The 17,512-nt window shown below is 37.9% G+C and overlaps 1 protein-coding gene across 15 annotated transcripts in view, besides 1 other annotated feature; it reads right to left on the bottom strand.

Annotated features, from left to right (window-relative positions):
* Nucleotides 1–17,512, bottom strand: part of ORC3 (origin recognition complex subunit 3) — an 87,689-nt gene that overhangs the window by 64,605 nt on the left and 5,572 nt on the right. For 14 of the 15 annotated variants that reach the window (XM_017010632.3, XM_017010633.3, XM_047418550.1 and 11 more), the window contains exons 3-8: nucleotides 11,338–11,435; nucleotides 9,691–9,835; nucleotides 7,198–7,302; nucleotides 5,395–5,546; nucleotides 3,990–4,123; nucleotides 971–1,130 (exon numbers count right to left, since the gene is read on the bottom strand). In XM_017010632.3, the coding sequence (XP_016866121.1) occupies nucleotides 971–1,130; nucleotides 3,990–4,123; nucleotides 5,395–5,546; nucleotides 7,198–7,302; nucleotides 9,691–9,835; nucleotides 11,338–11,435 (794 nt within the window). The remainder of the gene's footprint in view (nucleotides 1–970; nucleotides 1,131–3,989; nucleotides 4,124–5,394; nucleotides 5,547–7,197; nucleotides 7,303–9,690; nucleotides 9,836–11,337; nucleotides 11,436–17,512) is intronic. The other variant, NM_001197259.2, reaches the window with a different exon arrangement.
* Nucleotides 8,636–9,137: an enhancer, noted in NCBI's record as "NANOG hESC enhancer chr6:88313800-88314301 (GRCh37/hg19 assembly coordinates)". NCBI's record gives its function as "activates a minimal SCP1, AML or CMV promoter by ChIP-STARR-seq in primed H9 embryonic stem cells {active_cell/tissue: H9 hESC(primed)}" and the evidence as "EXISTENCE:reporter gene assay evidence [ECO:0000049][PMID:30033119]".

Genomic DNA, 17,512 nt, shown 5'->3' with positions numbered 1-17,512 from the left:
GACTTGCTCCTCCTTGCCTTCCACCATGATTGTGAGGCCTCCCCAGCCAAGTGGAACTATGAGTCCATTAAACCTCTTTCTTTTGTAAATTGCCCAGTCTCAGGTGTGTCTTTATCAGCAGCGTGAGAACAGACTAATACAGTCAATATTAAAGAATCATACTTGCATTTATGTAGAAACATAGTTAATTAACTTTAGTTGCTAAGGTCTAGGAAAATGTTAGTATTTGTTGTCAAGAGCAGCATGACAAATCAGTTAGGAAACAGTCCACTAAAAACTTCAAATCATTTTATACAAAATGTAAGGAGTCAGGCTGGGTGTGGCGGCTCATGCCTGTAATCCCAGCACTTTGGGAGGCCAAGGCAGGTAGATCACTTGAGGTCAGGAGTTCCAGACCAGCCTGGCCAATATGGTACCCTGTGTCTACTAAAAATACAAATTAGCCAGGCGTGGCGGCACACCTCATGAAGTCCCAGCTACTTGAGATGCTGCGGCAGGAGAATCACTTGAACCTGGGAGGCAGAGGTTGCAGTGAGCCAAGATTTCGTCACTGCACTCCAGCCTGGATGACAGAGCTAGACTCCTTCTCAAAAAAATAAAAATTAGAAAAATCAAAATGTAAGAGTCAAAATACATTGTTACTACAAAGTCTACAAATTCTGTAAAAATTTACATTATAAACCTATAATTTTCTATTGAGTAAAGATATAAAGAGATTAAGTACATAGAGAGATATGATCACTCTTTTCATAAAGCTTATATTTTACCTGAAGAGGTAATATACAAAATCACTGTAAAACTATAAAACACTACAAAAATTATTAAGTAAAAATATTAAAGTATGTGAAGGAATATGTTCAATATAGTACTCAGAGAGTTGTAGAGGCTTATTGTTAACAGTTATCTTAACAATCTATTATTGGCAGTTTTCTTTTCATCCTATTTCACTGGTAAAACTTATTCTTTTTACCTTATCGAGTACCGTAGTCAGGTGCTCCTTACAAGACAAAGATTGGAACAGTTCTATGCACAATAGAGATGATACTGCATGAGGAAGCAATCGGTGGATGATAATAGGAGATGTGGCTATTCCAAAAATGAGTATTAGTGGAAATTCATGGAGATGTTGACTAGTTTTGAAAGACAGACACAAAAGTGAAATTTATTTAGCAAATATATTTCAATACATCATATTTCAACATAAGACAAACTTTATTTTAATGCTTACTTTATAAGACACTGTTAAGGATTATCATTGCAAACACTAAAATTTTCTAAGTCTTTCACTTTCTTCTATTAAACAGAGAAATAATTACTTTCCAGACAGTCTAGCTTTGAAATCAATCTCTTAATAAATCCTCTCATTTTATAAATAAGAACAGAGAGGTCCAGAAAGTTTTCCTGAAGATTATACCATCTTTTTTCTTTTTTTTTTTTCAGATGGAGTCCTGCTCTGTCACCCAGACTGGAGTGCAGTGGTGCAATCTCGGCTCACTGCAACCTCCACCTCCTGGGTTCAAGCGATTCTCCTGCCTCAGCCTCCCGAGTAGCTGGGACTACATGTGCGTGCCACCATGCCTAATTTTTTAATTTTAGTGGAGATGGGGTTTCACCATATTGGTCAGGCTGGTCTCAAACTCCTGACTTCATGTGATCCACCCACTTCGGCCTCCCAAAGTGCTGGGATTACAGGCGTGAGCCACCATGCCCGGGCCGAAGATTATACAATCTTAAGTGTTAGAAGAGATGTTAGATACCATTCCATTTAATATCTCATTCAAAGTTTGAGCCCTTTCTATAGTCTTCCTCACTTTTGATGGCTAAGGTAGTCATTAAGTCTAAGCTCCAAAAAAAAGTACAGCTTTTCTGTCACTATTTTGTACTATGTACTTTCCAAGCATGCTAAGCAGTTCAGTGTCAGCATTAAGAAAAGTCCTAGGATCTGGGCTGGGTGCAATGGTTCATGCAAGTCCTAGGATCTGGGCTGGGTGCGATGGTTCATGTCTGTAATCCCAGCACGTTGGGAGACTGAGGAGGGCAGATCTCTTGAGGCCAAGAGTTTGAGACCAGCCTGGGCAACACGGCAAAACCCCATCTCTACAAAAAATACAAAAATTAGCCGGGCATGGTGGTGTGTGCCTATAGTCCTAGCTACTTGGGGACCTGAGAAGGGAGGACTGCTTAAGCCCAGGAGGTGGAGGGTGCAGTGAGCCAAGATCATGTCACTGCGCTCTAGCCTGGGTGACAGAGCCAGACCCTGTCTCAAAAAAAAAAAAAAAAAAAAGAAAAGTCCTAATATATAGAACTCTTAGAATCAATGAAGGAAAAAAGATCCTATCAAAGTAGAAATTTAAAGTATATTAGTAGGCCGGGCGCGGTGGCTCACGCCTGTAATCCCAGCACTTTGGGAGGCCGAGGCGGGTGGATCATGAGGTCAGGAGATCGAGACCATCCTGGCTAACAAGGTGAAACCCCGTCTCTACTAAAAATACAAAAAATTAGCCAGGCGCGGTGGCGGGCGCCTGTAGTCCCAGCTACTCGGGAGGCTGAGGCAGGAGAATGGCGTGAACCCGGGAAGCGGAGCTTGCAGTGAGCCGAGATTGCGCCACTGCAGTCCGCAGTCCGACCTGGGCGACAGAGCGAGACTCCGTCTCAAAAAAAATAAAAAATAAAAAAAAATAAAGTATATTAGTAAATTAGCTGGGTGTGGTGGCTCATGTCTGTAATCCTAGCACTTTGGGAGGCCCCAAAGAGCACTAAGGAAGGCAGATCACCTGAGGTCAGGAGTTTGAGACCAGCCTGGCTAATATGGTGAAACCCTGTCTCTACTAAAAATACAAAAATTAGCTAGGCGTGGCAGCGGGCACCTGTAATCCCAGCTACTTGGGAGGCTGAGGCATGAGAACTGCTTGAACCCGGGAGGCGGAGGTGGCAGGGAGTTGAGAAGGCGCCACTGCACTCCAGCCTGGGGGACAGAGCGAGACTCTGTCTCCAAAAATAAAAATAAAAATAAAGTATACTAGTAAATTATTTAACACAATATATAGCTTTAGGCAAATGTAGCTATAACTATTAAAACAAGTTGACATATAGAAGAGGCCAAAATAAATTCCATCCTAAAAAATACACCAGGGAAAATGCATGTCACTGGATTTTAAAATAAGAGTTCATTATTTCAATTCTGAGTCTCACATGATTGCTTTGAAGACGCAATGCAATCGTGAAAATAGTTTCTCACTAGAAGTATTATATAAATGCAAAATAATGTTATTTAGAAGACACTTTTGCTTAGTAAAACTATATGCAACTCAGAGCATCTAAGGATGGATGGGTATCAGAAAATAAGACCTAATAAAAATCTCAACTTAGCCAGGTATGGTGGCTCACTCCTGTAATCCCAGCACTTTGGGAGGCCGAGGCAGGCAGATCACCTGAGGTCAGGAGTTCGAGAACAGCCTGGCCAACATGGTGAAACTCTGTTTCTACTAAAAATACAAAAATTAGCCAGGTGTGGTGGTGGGCACCTGTAATCCCAGCTACTCAGGAGGCTGAGGCAGAATTGCTTGAACCCAGGAGGCGGAGGCTGCAGTGAGCCGAGATCGTACCACTGCACTCCAGCCTGGGCAACAGAACAAAGCTCCATCTCAAAAAAAAAAAAGAAAAAAACAAAAACAACAAACTCAACCTGGAGTAGTTTATCTATTTAATGGGTGAGTAAGAGACAGTCAATCTTGGTGAGAAAAACCATATTTAATACTATCTTACCATGTCAATTTAAAACTGGCTAAATGTGCCTTTGATTCTCATTCTTGGCTCAAAAAGCAAATGGAAAATCTGATAGGAAGTCTTTGAATATTCAATTATAAAGAATTTGAATACTTTGATTTTTATCCAGTTGGTATTAAAATGAAGATTATACTTTTCAAGTTAAAAGTAGTATTTTCTTAAAAAGGGAGTTTTTCATAAAAGCCAGGTAATACACCATCTACCTGCTGATAATTATGAAGTCTTGTAGTACTTTTGTGGCAAAGCTTTCCATATCCTTCAAGATAACGACAACAGGAGGAGACTGCCATTGGCTAGAAGTAGTCCTTTTTTTGCTTAGCATTTTTGGGTCCGTCTTCTTTTAAGCCATTGCAGAAAGAAAGAGTTAAAGGTAAGCCTTACCACTCAAACAATGTTATAATGCCACATGTTGACATATCTCTCTTTAAATTTCACAATAACACTGTTTATTTTTTTTCTACCACACGATAAATAGAAACTCAGGTTACTAGAATCTTGCTGTGTCTGACATGGGAATAATAACCAAGAAGAAAAAGGTTCAGTAAAAATCTATAACTCATATGAAATATTTATATTTTCTGCTAAGGAAATGACAGAAAAAAACATGGAAGAGGAAATTTTCTACAAAATTGATTTTTCTGTTGGTAGAAAGTTATATTCTGCTTTGCTTTATAGTGAGAACTAGTATTTTTAATGAAAAAAATATAATGAATAGTAGTGCTTGCTACTCTGCCACTGTGAAATTTCAAGCCTGAAATGGATACTAGGTATCATCTGGTCCAATCTCAATTTTTAAAAAGATATCTGACATAAACCAAAAGTAGCATTTTATCTGGAAAGTCTAAAATTGTGGAGCAAATCAGGTATTATGGTAAGTATTAGACGTAGTTTAGTCCCTATATAAAGCAAAATGAAACTTCACTTACGATGATTTCAGCAAAAATGTTGATTGGAAAATGTAACCACAGTATTTTTTTTCCCATACTGTCTGGCTACACAGCACCATAACCTAAGACTATGGTTTTATGACGCAATTACCTAGTGTTAACCTAGGTTATTATTTTTCACCAGACTGTCATGGTAGAATGGAACTTCTTTTTACTTATCTGTTTGTCTAACATACTTTACTTAAAGAACACTGATTCCCTAAGAACTCTAAACATAAAACAAATTAGACTTTAGAAAATACATGATTATTCTTCATTGAACTAAGTTGACAGTGGATACTAGCAGCATGGTTCTATTGGACAAAGCAAACATTGAGGAACATAAGAGATAATATACTAAAGTTATAGTTACTGTCACAGAGATGGAACATGCAACAGAAGCAATTCCTGATGCTCTGTTTTTGTCATTAGAGGACATTCTCCAACAAATAATATGTCCTTGTAAAAACCTAAGCACTTACCTGGAATTAGGCTGCATACTAATAAAAGAACATTTTAAAATTCGAGTAGCATTAGAAAAAATAAATACCTACTTTTAAATTAACACCTAGTGCTGCAGAAACATATCCTTGTTAGATCAAAACAGTACTGTCTAATATTATTCCAAGCCACATCAATCATACGTCAATTTCCTGGGAGAAAATCATCAGTTTATATCTACCTGTGTGACAGTCATATACCAACTGGAAAGTGAATCCATTGAATAATGTGTCTTTCTTTGGGTGACGTGAACACTTTCCTCCTCTTTGGATTTTATATCTACACAGCAGTCCATCAACTGTGAGATCAACTTTTGCAAAAAATGTTTCATATCTGTGGAATATAAAAAGTAAGAAAGCTTATCTCTGCCTCTTCTAAAAATAAAACCAAAGCTCTTGAAACTTCTTGCTGAGTGTATTACTTTTTTTTTTGGTAGAATGTGTTTTTTTATACTTACCATCAATACAGCTAATGTAACATTTAACATATTAACTACTGATGCTCATTAGTACCTTCATTAATTCAGACTAAGACTAAACCAAAGCTTATGTATATTATCTTTATTTTTTTTTTTTGAGATGGAGTCTCGCTCTGTTGCCCAGGCTGGAGTACAGTGGCAGGATCTCGGCTCAATACAACCTCTGCCTCCCGGGTTCAAGCAATTCTCCTGCCTCAAGCCTCCCCAGTAGCTGGGATTACAGGCGCGTGCCACCATACCCAGCTAATTTTTGTATTTTTTAGTAGAGACGGGGTTTTGCCATGTTGGCCAGGCTGGTCTCGAACTCCTCACCTCATGATCTGCCTGCCTCAGCCTCCCAAAGTGCTGGGATTACAAGCATCAAACACTGCTCCCAGCCATTTATGTATATTATCTATAATAAAAAGGTCACAGAAGCAAATGTGTAGATATGCAAACTATAAATTTTAGGAATATGTATTTAAATTACATAGGAAAATAAACAGTTTTCAAGTTCCCTAAGAAAAATCAAGTGTCATATGAATTATTTTACTGATTATAAATCTTTCATATAGCCATTTTTAAAGATGCCTTTAAGGGCTTTTACTTAATTTCAATCAGTTTATGAATATGAAAGCAATATAAGCACATAAATCTCTTTTATCAATCTAATCCAAACAAATTTTACCACATTAGGGCCAGGCATGGTGACTCAAGATGTAATCCCAGCACTTTGGGAAGCCAAGGCAGGAGGATTGTTTGAGCCCAGGAGTTCAAGACCAGTCTGGACAACACAGCAAGACCCAATCTCTACAAACAACAACAACAACAAAACCCCACAATGTAGCTGATGTAGCTGAGCGTAATGGCATGCACCTGTAGTCCTAGGTACTGGGGAAGCTGAAGTGGGAGAACTGCTTGAGGCCAGGAGTTCAAGCTGCACTGAGCTATGATCATGCTACTGTAGTACAGCCTAGGCAACAGAGTGAGACCCTGTCTCAAAAGAAAAAAAAAAAAAGCTTTTTAATATATTAGTGTGAACACTCTTTATGATTTCATGGGTTCACATGCTCAGGATTACCTCTGTCAGTGGACTATTTTTCACCATGGTGGCTTTTCAAAGTGGGACAATAAGATGATTTATGGCTGAAACATGAGCCCATGTGGTCTACTCTCTTTTGAGCTGACAAGAGCTCCTCATTCCCCAATTCTCAGCTTTCTGTCCTAAGTCTTTCTACTTATTAAACGTTTCACTGGGTTAAAGAATGCATCTCACAAAATGCCTGGACTGCTACCGGCAGTTAAGCTGATAGGGCAGAAATGGGTCAAGAACAAAGACAGCAAAAGAAGGCAGAGTTCTGTAATAGTCACAATTACTCTGAGAGCCCCCAAACCTCACCCTGCCTAAAACATAGCACTGTGTTCTTTCCACCAAAAAAAGGGATAAAGAAAGCCTGAAAAAGAGAGAAAAGGATGAAAGAAGTCTGTAACATCTCATCAAGGTTATTATGGCATTTATATTTTTACCTGGACAATCTTTAGCTTGCAATGAGACTACATATGGTGTGACATTATTCTGAAGGGCCTCTGTTAGACTTCCGAATGTCAAATCATGATCTGTGACATTCACACCTATGAGATAATACATCAATATTACATCACCATTTTTATTAATAATAATTTAATGACAAAAGCTATTTAACATATCAAGCAAACAAGTAAAAACATTTAAAAAATGATTAATAACAGAAACCAAGGAAATATACTATATAAATGATATCCATTAACAATAGCTATCCAAAGGCATAAACTATATTTGTCAGGAAAGATATTTTGCACAATTCCTCTTTCAAACAAATTACTGGGATGTGCACTTGAAAGCTTCTTTTTTTTTTTTTTGAGACAGAATCTCGCTCTGTCATCCAGGCTGGAGTGCAGCAGCTCAATCTCAGCTCACTGCATCCTTCACCTCCCAAGTTCAGGTGATTCTCCTGCCTCAGCCTCCTGAGTAGCTGGAATTACAGGCATGTGCCACCACACCGGCTAATTTTTGTAGTTTTAATAGAGACAGGGTTTCACCACGTTGGCCAGGCTGGTCTCAAACTCCCGACCTCAAGTGATCCACCCGCCTCAGCCTCCCAACGTGCTGGGATTACAGGCGTGAGCCACTGTGCCCAGCCGACCCTTGAAAACATCTTAGAAGTAATTTCATTGCTTTGTCAAATTCCTAACAAGCTCTTTAAGGAAATTAAAACTGGCCAGGTGCAGTATAGCTCATGCCCATAATCCCAGCACTTTGGGAGGATCACTTGAAGCCAGGAGTTCAAGAACAGCCTGGCAAACATGGTGAGAACCTGTCTCTATAAAAATTTTAAAAAAGTAAAACTATGGGTTCTTTTGGTATTTACGGAATCCCTGGTTTTCATTTCTGCAAATCAGAGTTTCAGGGCACCGCATACAGTTATCAAATTTTTGAGTGAAAAATTTCCCACTACTTTGGAAAAAAATTCTGTTAACTGGTATCTTCCCTAACATAACCATCTGTGATTTCTAGAAAGTCATTTGGTGCTTAGGCAGATAACAGCAGCAGCCACTTTCAAACTGCTTAAGAGTTACAGCTGCAAAACTTTCATTGCTTGGAAGAAAAAGAAAAATTTCAGAATCATCCATGCCAGCAATAATAAACCATTTTTTTTTTCTAGGAGAGCCAAAGAATAAAAATATTAGCAGACTATTTTTTAAATGGATATTGAAAATAGAAAATATCAAAATGATTCCTAGCATGCATTATGGTCTATGATTATAATAACACATCCCTGAACAAATTTAGAAGTTCAGTAAAACACTGGGTTATCTTGGCTTTCACTGACTGGCTATAAGCTATTTATTAATAACATTATATTCGTTATATTTGTATTATAAAACAATGAACTTGTCTATCACAAACAAGATAATCAACAATGTGTTTAACTAGAAAAATGTTCTCCTCAGACCATGATTTTAAAACATTCTTTCCATTAGCTTGGTACAAGTGGGCCATCACTGGGCCTCAGTTTTTCCTCAAATGGGAGAATTTTTAGATGTTGCATTGTAAAGCTGGTCCACAGCATAATAAAAATCATTCCCTTGAGTCTTATTAGTGTGGTCCTGGGACTATGGGCATCAGCTGGTACCCTGTTAGAAATGTAAAATTTCAGGCCCCACCCTAGACCCATTAACCAAAATCTACATTTTAATACGATCCCTGGAGGTTATCTGTGGGTGCATTGAGGTTGAGAATTAATTCCTTATCTCAGAGCTAACTAGCATAACAAATCTTGAATAAATTGAAAGAGAAATTAAGAGCATGTTTGGAACCCAAATAAATTCAACTTTGTTTTCAAAGGGAATGAAGAAAATTTGCTAATATTCCAAAGAAATTTTTTCCATTGTGCTGGAATCCAAATGTTTGGTAAAGATGAGATATTAATGATGGATGTTTAAGTACTTAAGAAATTTACAACCTGCAATTTGAAAGCAATTTATGTGCAATTCATCCAAACACCTCCTTGTAGGTAATTAATATGAATATAATGAAACAATCTAAGATGGAAAAACTATGCACAGGAAAATAAAATTAAGGTCATAGAGTAATTCCATTGAAGATACGACTAAAAAAAGTATGAAAACCAAATCTACTAACACTGGTAGTTTCTTTATTACCAAATCTCATATACTCTTGTAATGTATCTACAAAGAAAGAGTAAAACAAATATATTTTCCCTTCCGACCAAAAGTTGGGGAGAACATTAGCTAGATAAATTCCTTTTAATTTACAAACATATGATCGTCTGTAAAGATAAGGAATTTTTATTGGTTTTTGAAAATATGTAATATAAACTATAGTTGGTTTAATTGTACAAATAAGAGAGACAAAATAGGCTCATCAAAACAGGTCCTTCCACTATTCTCAACAATAAAAAAAAATTTAAAAACGAAATACACAGAGATGCATGCATGAACAAACATACGCATATATACCAAGAACAAGAGCAGCAGTTGGAATTTCTCTGAGTTTTATTTGACCGCCCAAGTCTCTTGAATTCTTCTGGAATCCAGAATGTGATTTTTGCAGAAATTCAATCAGATTGTCAAACAAGTTTTTATTTAATTCCTCTTGTAGTCGCTACAAAGAACACACAAAAACTTATTATTATTAGAAATAATAATCTGATGTCTTTCCTGGTTGTGGAAAGAAAATTGTCATGGATTCAATGATGTAAAATGATCAAAAGATGAACCTAATTAAAAAATGTTTTTTCCTTAAATCTCTAGTAATTAGTGCTCTGGGTTCCCCCATTAAAAATTCCCTCTCAAGCCTGGTCGGCATAGTGAGACCTCATCTTTTTAGATAAAAGACAAATTAGCTGGGTGTAGTGGTGCACATCTGTGGTCCCAGCTTCTAGGGAAGCTGAGGTGAGAGGGTCACTTGAGTCTGGGAGGTCAAGGCTGCAGTAAGCTATGATCATGCCACTACACGCCAGCCTGGGTGACAGAGCAAGACCTTGTCTCAAAAAAAAAAATTGTATATATATATGTATATATATATATATATTATATATGTGTATATATATATAAACGTGTATATATATATATAATATATAATATATATATGATATATGACATTAAAGGGTTTGGATTTTGTCCTATGGGGAGCACCACTGAAGGGATGTGAAGTAAAGACATAATTGGATCAGGGTTAAGAAGGGTTAATCTGGCAACAGGGCTGGAGGGGTTGCCTGGAATTGGGCTGCATTTGCCTTGAAAAGGGTCTTTTCTAATTTGGCCAATGGTGTCAGGGATGCCAGTCAGGAGGATATAACAATCCAGATTCAGAAATGAAGACGGCCTAAACTGGAAACCACAAATTCAAATACCTTGAAGGATCACATGGAATACGTGAATGAGCCTTTGCTCATTACCACTAGGTGTAAATCAGTAAGGACTGGTAGGCGGCAGTAATAAACTGGAAAGTATATAACCTTCCGAAAGGCAATTAAACCAAAAACTACAACACTGTGTTGGCCAAAAAAAAAAAAAAAGTTGTCAGCCTAAAATGCTGGCCCTAGAGCTACCAATTTGCTATAGTGAAGAAATGTTTCAGAGCTGGAATATAAAGATGAGAAAGTGAAGGAGTTTAGAAACAGCTTGATTTCACAGTTGTATACCTGAAAGGATAATTTAAGAGCGTCACCATTTGAAAGCTCCTTGCCTTAACAGCTATCATAAACATCTGTTCCACTCACAAGAAATATGAGTTTTTTTTGTTTTTGTTTTTGAGACAAGATCTCTCTCTGCTGCCCAGGCTGGAGTGCCGTGGTACTATCTCGGCTCACTGCAACCTCCACCTCCCAGGCTCAAGTTATCCTCCCAACTTAGCCTCCTGAGTAGCTGGAATTACAAGTGCACACCACCATGCCCAGCTAGTTTTTGTAGCTTTTGTAGAGACAGGGTTTCACCAAGTTGCCCAGGCTGGATTATGGTTGTTTTTTTAAGGATATACAGGCTATGCTTGACCAATACTTCCTATATTTCATCAATACTCTTGTAAACTGGTGGAAAGGAAGATGAGATGCAACAAAAATGAGACTTAGGGTGTTACAGAAAATTATTAAAAAAAGTATTCACCTCATTTTCAGATTTCATCTGCTGCCATATCAACTGATAAGTTTCGAATCGAAGCTTACTGTCCTCAGGCTCATTTTTCCCTTTGTTAAAATAGTCCTCTAAAAACAGAAAGAAATAAGTCAGTTTCTTTTTTCATATAATAGTATAAGTTATAGATCTTACGTGCAAAGTTACACAGTAAGTGACAGAAGTGAAATTTTTTTTTTTTTTGATATGGAGTCTCACTCTGTCACCCAGGCTGGAGTGCAGTGGCATGATGTTGGCTCAGTGCGATCTCCGCCTCCCAGGTTCAAGTGATTCTCTCCTGCCTCAGCCTCCCGAGTGGCTGTGACTACAGGCACGTGCCACCACGCCCGCTCAATTTTGTATTTTTAGTAGAGATGGGGTTTCACCATGTTGGCCAGGCTGGTCTCAAACTCCTGACCTCAAGTGATCTGCCCACCTTGGCCTCCCAAAGTACTGGGATTACAAGTGTGAGCCACCTTGCCTGGCCTTAATTTTTTTTACATTCATCAAAAACATATATTTGGGGACAGGTAACATTCAATATCCTCTGTATTTCATTTTTTATAATCTTTTATTTTTACCATATTTATGGCATATTTAAGATTAAAAATGTCAATCTTTCTACTGTATTTCTATCATTTGCTTTTTAATTTCTAACAGTTTTTATTAAGTGGCTTTTTTGAGTTATATACATTTAATAATGTTTTCATTATTTGCTGTTATTCTACAACCTTGTATACTTTGTTTCATACATTTGCTTTGAACTCTCCTCTATTGAATGACTTACTACTACTATTCTTACATTTTTCCACTGACATAGTTTAGTCCAGTCTTTCATTTATTCTGTCTGTATATTTTTGTATCCTTTTTGAATGCTTTCTCCAAATGGTTAGCTATTTGTGAAAATACCATTTATTGCACTGGCTTTCAAACTTTTCAAACTATAATCCACATTAAGGAATACACTTTATATCATAACCTAACACATATACACATGAACAAAAACTAAAGTCACAAAAAACAACACTCACCCTTATTATGTAATAGCAAATGTTTTCTTTCCTGTTTTATACTCATAGTCCACTAAATTGATTTCATAACTCACACATAAATTATGACATTTGGTTTGAAAAACCCTCCTTTATTGTACAATCCATCCTTCTCCCGCTGATTTGACATGCCCTTATAGTCTAAATACTTATATATACTTTGAACTATGTTTGAACTTTTTATTTTGTTCTACTGAATCCAACCCTATTCTCCTACCAGTCTTGAACTGTTTTAATTATTATGGCTTTGTATGTTGTACATTTTATCAAATACATTTAGGTCTTCCTCCCACTGCCCCCAAACATTGTTATTCTCTTTCAAAAAAATTTAAGCCACTTCTTCAAATTAATTTTACAGTAATCCTGTCACTTCTCAAAACTAGTTGTACTGGTATTTGACTAGATAAAATCAAATCCATAGACTGATTTGGGGAAAAATCCCATCTTTAATATGTTAAAAAATCCCCAACCCCAATATCACAGGTCTCTTTTTTTAATCAAATATTTTAGATTCCTTATAGTTTTCTACTTTCCCTCATATTTCTTGTTGTTTACTGCTACGTATTTTATTGTAACAACTGGAGTGTTCACGTTAAATTTCTGCTGCTAATAATCTACCACCAAGTTTTAATGTTAACTGATAGTTTGGAATATAAATTCACTTCATGTTAAGGAACTTCTCTCCTAATCATAGTTAACTCAGAGTTTTTAGCAACTATTGATTTTTAATTTTATCAAAAGCCTTGGAATACATTGAAGTCATCGTACGGTAAAGTGGCAGACAAGGTTATAGAATTAAAATGCCAACAAAAAAAGAAAGCAAGGAGACACTATTATTACTATTACTATTATTTGAGACAGGGTCTCGCTCTGTTGCCCAGGCTGGAGTGAAGTGGTGAGATCTCAGCTTACTGCAACCTCCGCCTCCCAGGTCCAAGTGATTCTCCTGCCTCAGCCTCCCGAGTAGCTGGGACTACAGGCGCCCGCGACCACATCTGGCTAATTATATTTTTAGCAGAGACGGGGTTTCACCACATTGGCCAGGCTGGTCTTGAACACCTGACCTCAAGTGATCTGCCCACCTTGGCCTCCCAAAGTGCTGGTATTACAGGCGTACATCACCCCACCTAGCCAGAGGACACTATTATTAAGAGACAAAGCAGGCCAGCGTGGTGGCACATGCCTGTAATCCCAGCGCTTTGGGAGGCCAAGGTGGGCGGTTCATTAGCTCAGGACTTGGAGACCACCCTGGCCAACATGGTGAAACCCCATCTCTGCTAAAAATACAAAAATTAGCCGGGCGTGGTGGCATACACCTGTAGTCCCAGGTACTCAGGAGGCTGAGGCAGGAGAATCACCTGAACCTGGGAGGCAGAGGTTGCAGTGAGCTGAAATTGTGCCACTACACTCCAGCCTGGGCGACAGAGCAAAACCTTGCCTCAAAATAAATAAATAAATAAATAAATAAATAATAAAAAAAAGAGACAAAGCAGAACAACAAGGTAGCTTTAAAAAGAACAAAAATAGTCACTTTACATTAATAGGTAAAATCATAGCATAACATGAAAGTGGCAAATCAAGACACAATTTTTATGTGCAGAATAATGCCGCATCAAAATACACATGAAAAACCTCTTAGAAACTGGGAAACACAGCAGTAGGATACTTTAAACTGTTACCATGACTTCTCTCAGTCTGTTACAGATCAGGTAGGTAAATTTAAAAACTACACTGAAGAATATAAGCTCTCACTGTTGCCAGGTTTCTACCTGCCTCGGCTCCTATTCACAGTGCTATACTTCAGTGTGGGTATCTCCTACAGTGCCAGTGCTGCTGCCAGTCTCTCTCTCTCCAGTTCCTATCCAGTTGTTTTGCTGGATATGCAGTCATCCACAGAATACTGAGGAGAGGGAGAGTTACCAGTCTTAATTACGTGCCCAAGTGTCTTCAGTCAGGGGACAGATGGTGGGCAAAATGCAGAGCATCTTCCTACTTCTTCAGTCAATCTGTTTCAACAACTGAAGCCAGTGAAGGCAAATGTTAAAGTCTGGGTATGTTTCCCTCATTCCTGCTCCATCTGCCTTATAATCAGGGTCAATTCCTCAAAGATTTTCGTATTATAACACTACCCGTTGGTCTTAGAGCCACATAATGAAAAAAAAAAAAAAGCCTAGCAAACTTCTAAAGCAAAATTCAAATCATACAATTATACACATCAGGTTTACTAGTACTAAAAACTATAAACCAATCCTAATAAGTTGTAGCTTAAATTCAATACAAAAAGTTCTAAATAGAAACTTGGCCTTATATAATGAGAGGCAGTATTAAGCTATGGTTAAATCATGAGCTCTGGAATCAGACAGGTTGGGTTCAAATCCTAGCTCTATCATTTACTAACATTATAACATTGAGAAAGTTATATGTCTAAGTATCCTTATATATTTCAATGGCGATAATACATTCCTTGTAGTTTGCTGAGGGGATTAATCAAATTAACACATATAAAATGATTGAAACAGTCTGGGTCTATAATCCCAGCGCTTTGGGAGGCCAAGGCAGGTGGACTGCTTGAGCTCAGGATTTGAGACCAGCCTGGACAACAAAGTGAGATCTCACCTTAAAAAAAAAATAAATAAATTAGCAAGCAAGGTGACATGAGCCTGTAGTCCTAGCTGAGGCTAAGGCAGGAGGATTCCCGGAGCCCAGGAGCTCAAGTTTGCAGTGGACTATGATTGTGCCACTGCACTCCAGCCTGGGTGACAGAGTGAGATCTTGTCTTGAAAAACAAAACAGTCTGGCACACTGTAAACATCCAAGAAATATTAACAACTGTATTAGTTATAATTACATTGGTGATGATATTAGATGTCACTGCATGCTATGTGTCCCTAATGATAATGGGGGAACAAGTCTTTAATTTTCTCTGACCTATTTCTAGTAAGTTGAGCAATCTGCAACATTAAAGAAATGTGTGGCCAGGCATGGTGACTCACGCCTGTAATCCCAGCACTTTGGGAGGCCAAGGTGGGAGGATCACTTGAACTCAGGAGTTCAGGACCAGCCTGGGCAACATAGTAAGATCCCATCTCTATTTTAAAAAAAAATTATATATATATGTGTGTGTGTGTGTGTGTGTGTGTGTGTGTATATATATATATCATTACTTAAAAAAAATCCTATTCTATATATTCAAGTTATCCATTTATTTCCTTAGTCAAACAGTGGCATAGTTCATTTTTTCAATTCAAAACTAGTACATGGGTATGCTTAATTCCATATCATAATTTTTCCACTGGAATTAATTTTCACAGTGCTGAATATGGAATGTATATACTCAATAACCCTGTGGGGAGCTTTTGAAAAATTCTAACACTTAGGCCCCACTCTTGAGATTCTAATTCAATTGATCCGGGTTAGGGTCTTAGCATTGGCACAGGTTGAGCATCTCTAATCCAAAAATCTGAAATCCTCCAGAATCTGAAACTTTTTGAGTACCAACATGATGCCACAAGTGGAAAATTCCATATCTCACCTCAAGTGACAGGTCGCAGTCAAAACACAGCCAAAACTTTGTTTCATGCACAATATTATTTAAAATATTATGTAAAATTCGTTTCAGGCTATGTGGTTAAGGTGTATATGAAACATGAATGAATTTTATTTTTAGACTTGGGTCTCATTCCCAAGATTATCTCATTATATACAGGTATATATTTCAAAATCTGAAAAAATTCCAATAACCAAAACACTTCTGGTCCCAAGATTTGGGATAAGGAACTCTCACCCTGCATTTTTTCAAAGTCCCACAAGTTGGAATTGAATAAGGTCACTAGATTGTATTAATATCAGTTTCTTAATTGTGACACTGTACTATAGTTATGTAAGATACTGCCACTGGGGATAACTGGTCGTAGGGTACTTACTGGTGGAAGAGTATTACCTGTAATTATATGTGCATCTACAATTATATTAAAATAAGACTTTTCAAAGTTCCCCAAATGATTCTAATGTGAAGCTATGATTGAGAACCGGTGCAATAAATACATTCTGATAGTAATACTGGATTTGATTGAAGAAGTCAAGTCTTCTTAATTTGATCACTAAACAGGTATCAGGATATAAATGAAAAAAGTGAAGACAGTATCTTTTTTTATTAATTGAATTTTATTGAGGTATAATTTACAAATAATTAAACACAACCATTTTAACAGTTTGACCCAGGTATATACTTACATAACCACTCTGTCAACAGAGAACATTTCCATCACTCCAGAAAGTTCCCTCTTGCCTTTTTGCAGTTAATTCCCCCTACTTCATCCCAGGAAACCACTGGGACTTTAACACAACCTGTGTTGTTTTTGCCTTAAAAAAAAAAAAACAACAAAAAAACAAACAGCCGAGCACAGTGACTCACACCTGTAATCCTAGCACTTTGGAAGGCTGAGGTGGGCAGATCACAAGGCCGGGAGTTCGAGATCAGCCTGGCCAACATAGTGAAACCCGATCTCTACTAAAAAATACAAAAATTAGCCAGGCATTGTGGCGCATGCCTGTAGTCCCAGCTACTCGGGAGACTGAGGCAGGAGAATCGCTTGAACCTGGGAGGCGGAGGTTGCAGTGAGCTGAGATCATGCTGAGAGCTAGACTCCGTCTCAAAAAAAAAAAACAAAAACAAACAAACAAATTAGGCTGGGCACAGTGGCTCACACCTGTAATCCCAGCACTTTGAGGTCTGAGGTGGGAGGATCACTTGAGCCCTGGAATTCAGGACCAACCTGGGCAACAAAGTGAGACCCTGTCTCTACAAAAAATTTTAAAAAATAATTAGCCAGGCGTCGTAGCGCATGCCTGTAGTCCCAGGTACTTGGGAGGCTGAGGTGGGAGGATCATTTAAGCCCAGGAGTTTTCAAGGCTGAAGTGAGCTATGATCAGGCCGCCGAACTGAAGCCTGGGTGACAGACTGAGACCCTGTCTCTAAAATAAATCAACAAACAAAACCAAAAGAAATGTCTTTCCTCTCTTACACACATGGGTATATGAGTGTGTGAGTATGCGTATGTCTGAGTGAGTGATAAAAATCCACTCCCTTAATATCATGAGTATGTGTGTCTATGAGTGAT

The sequence above is a fragment of the Homo sapiens genome, chromosome 6, assembly GCF_000001405.40.
Source record: "Homo sapiens chromosome 6, GRCh38.p14 Primary Assembly".
In the NCBI taxonomy this organism is placed as follows: domain Eukaryota; kingdom Metazoa; phylum Chordata; class Mammalia; order Primates; family Hominidae; genus Homo; species Homo sapiens.
Note: the sequence above shows the minus strand (reverse complement) of the source record. Positions and strands in the feature narration are given on the sequence as shown.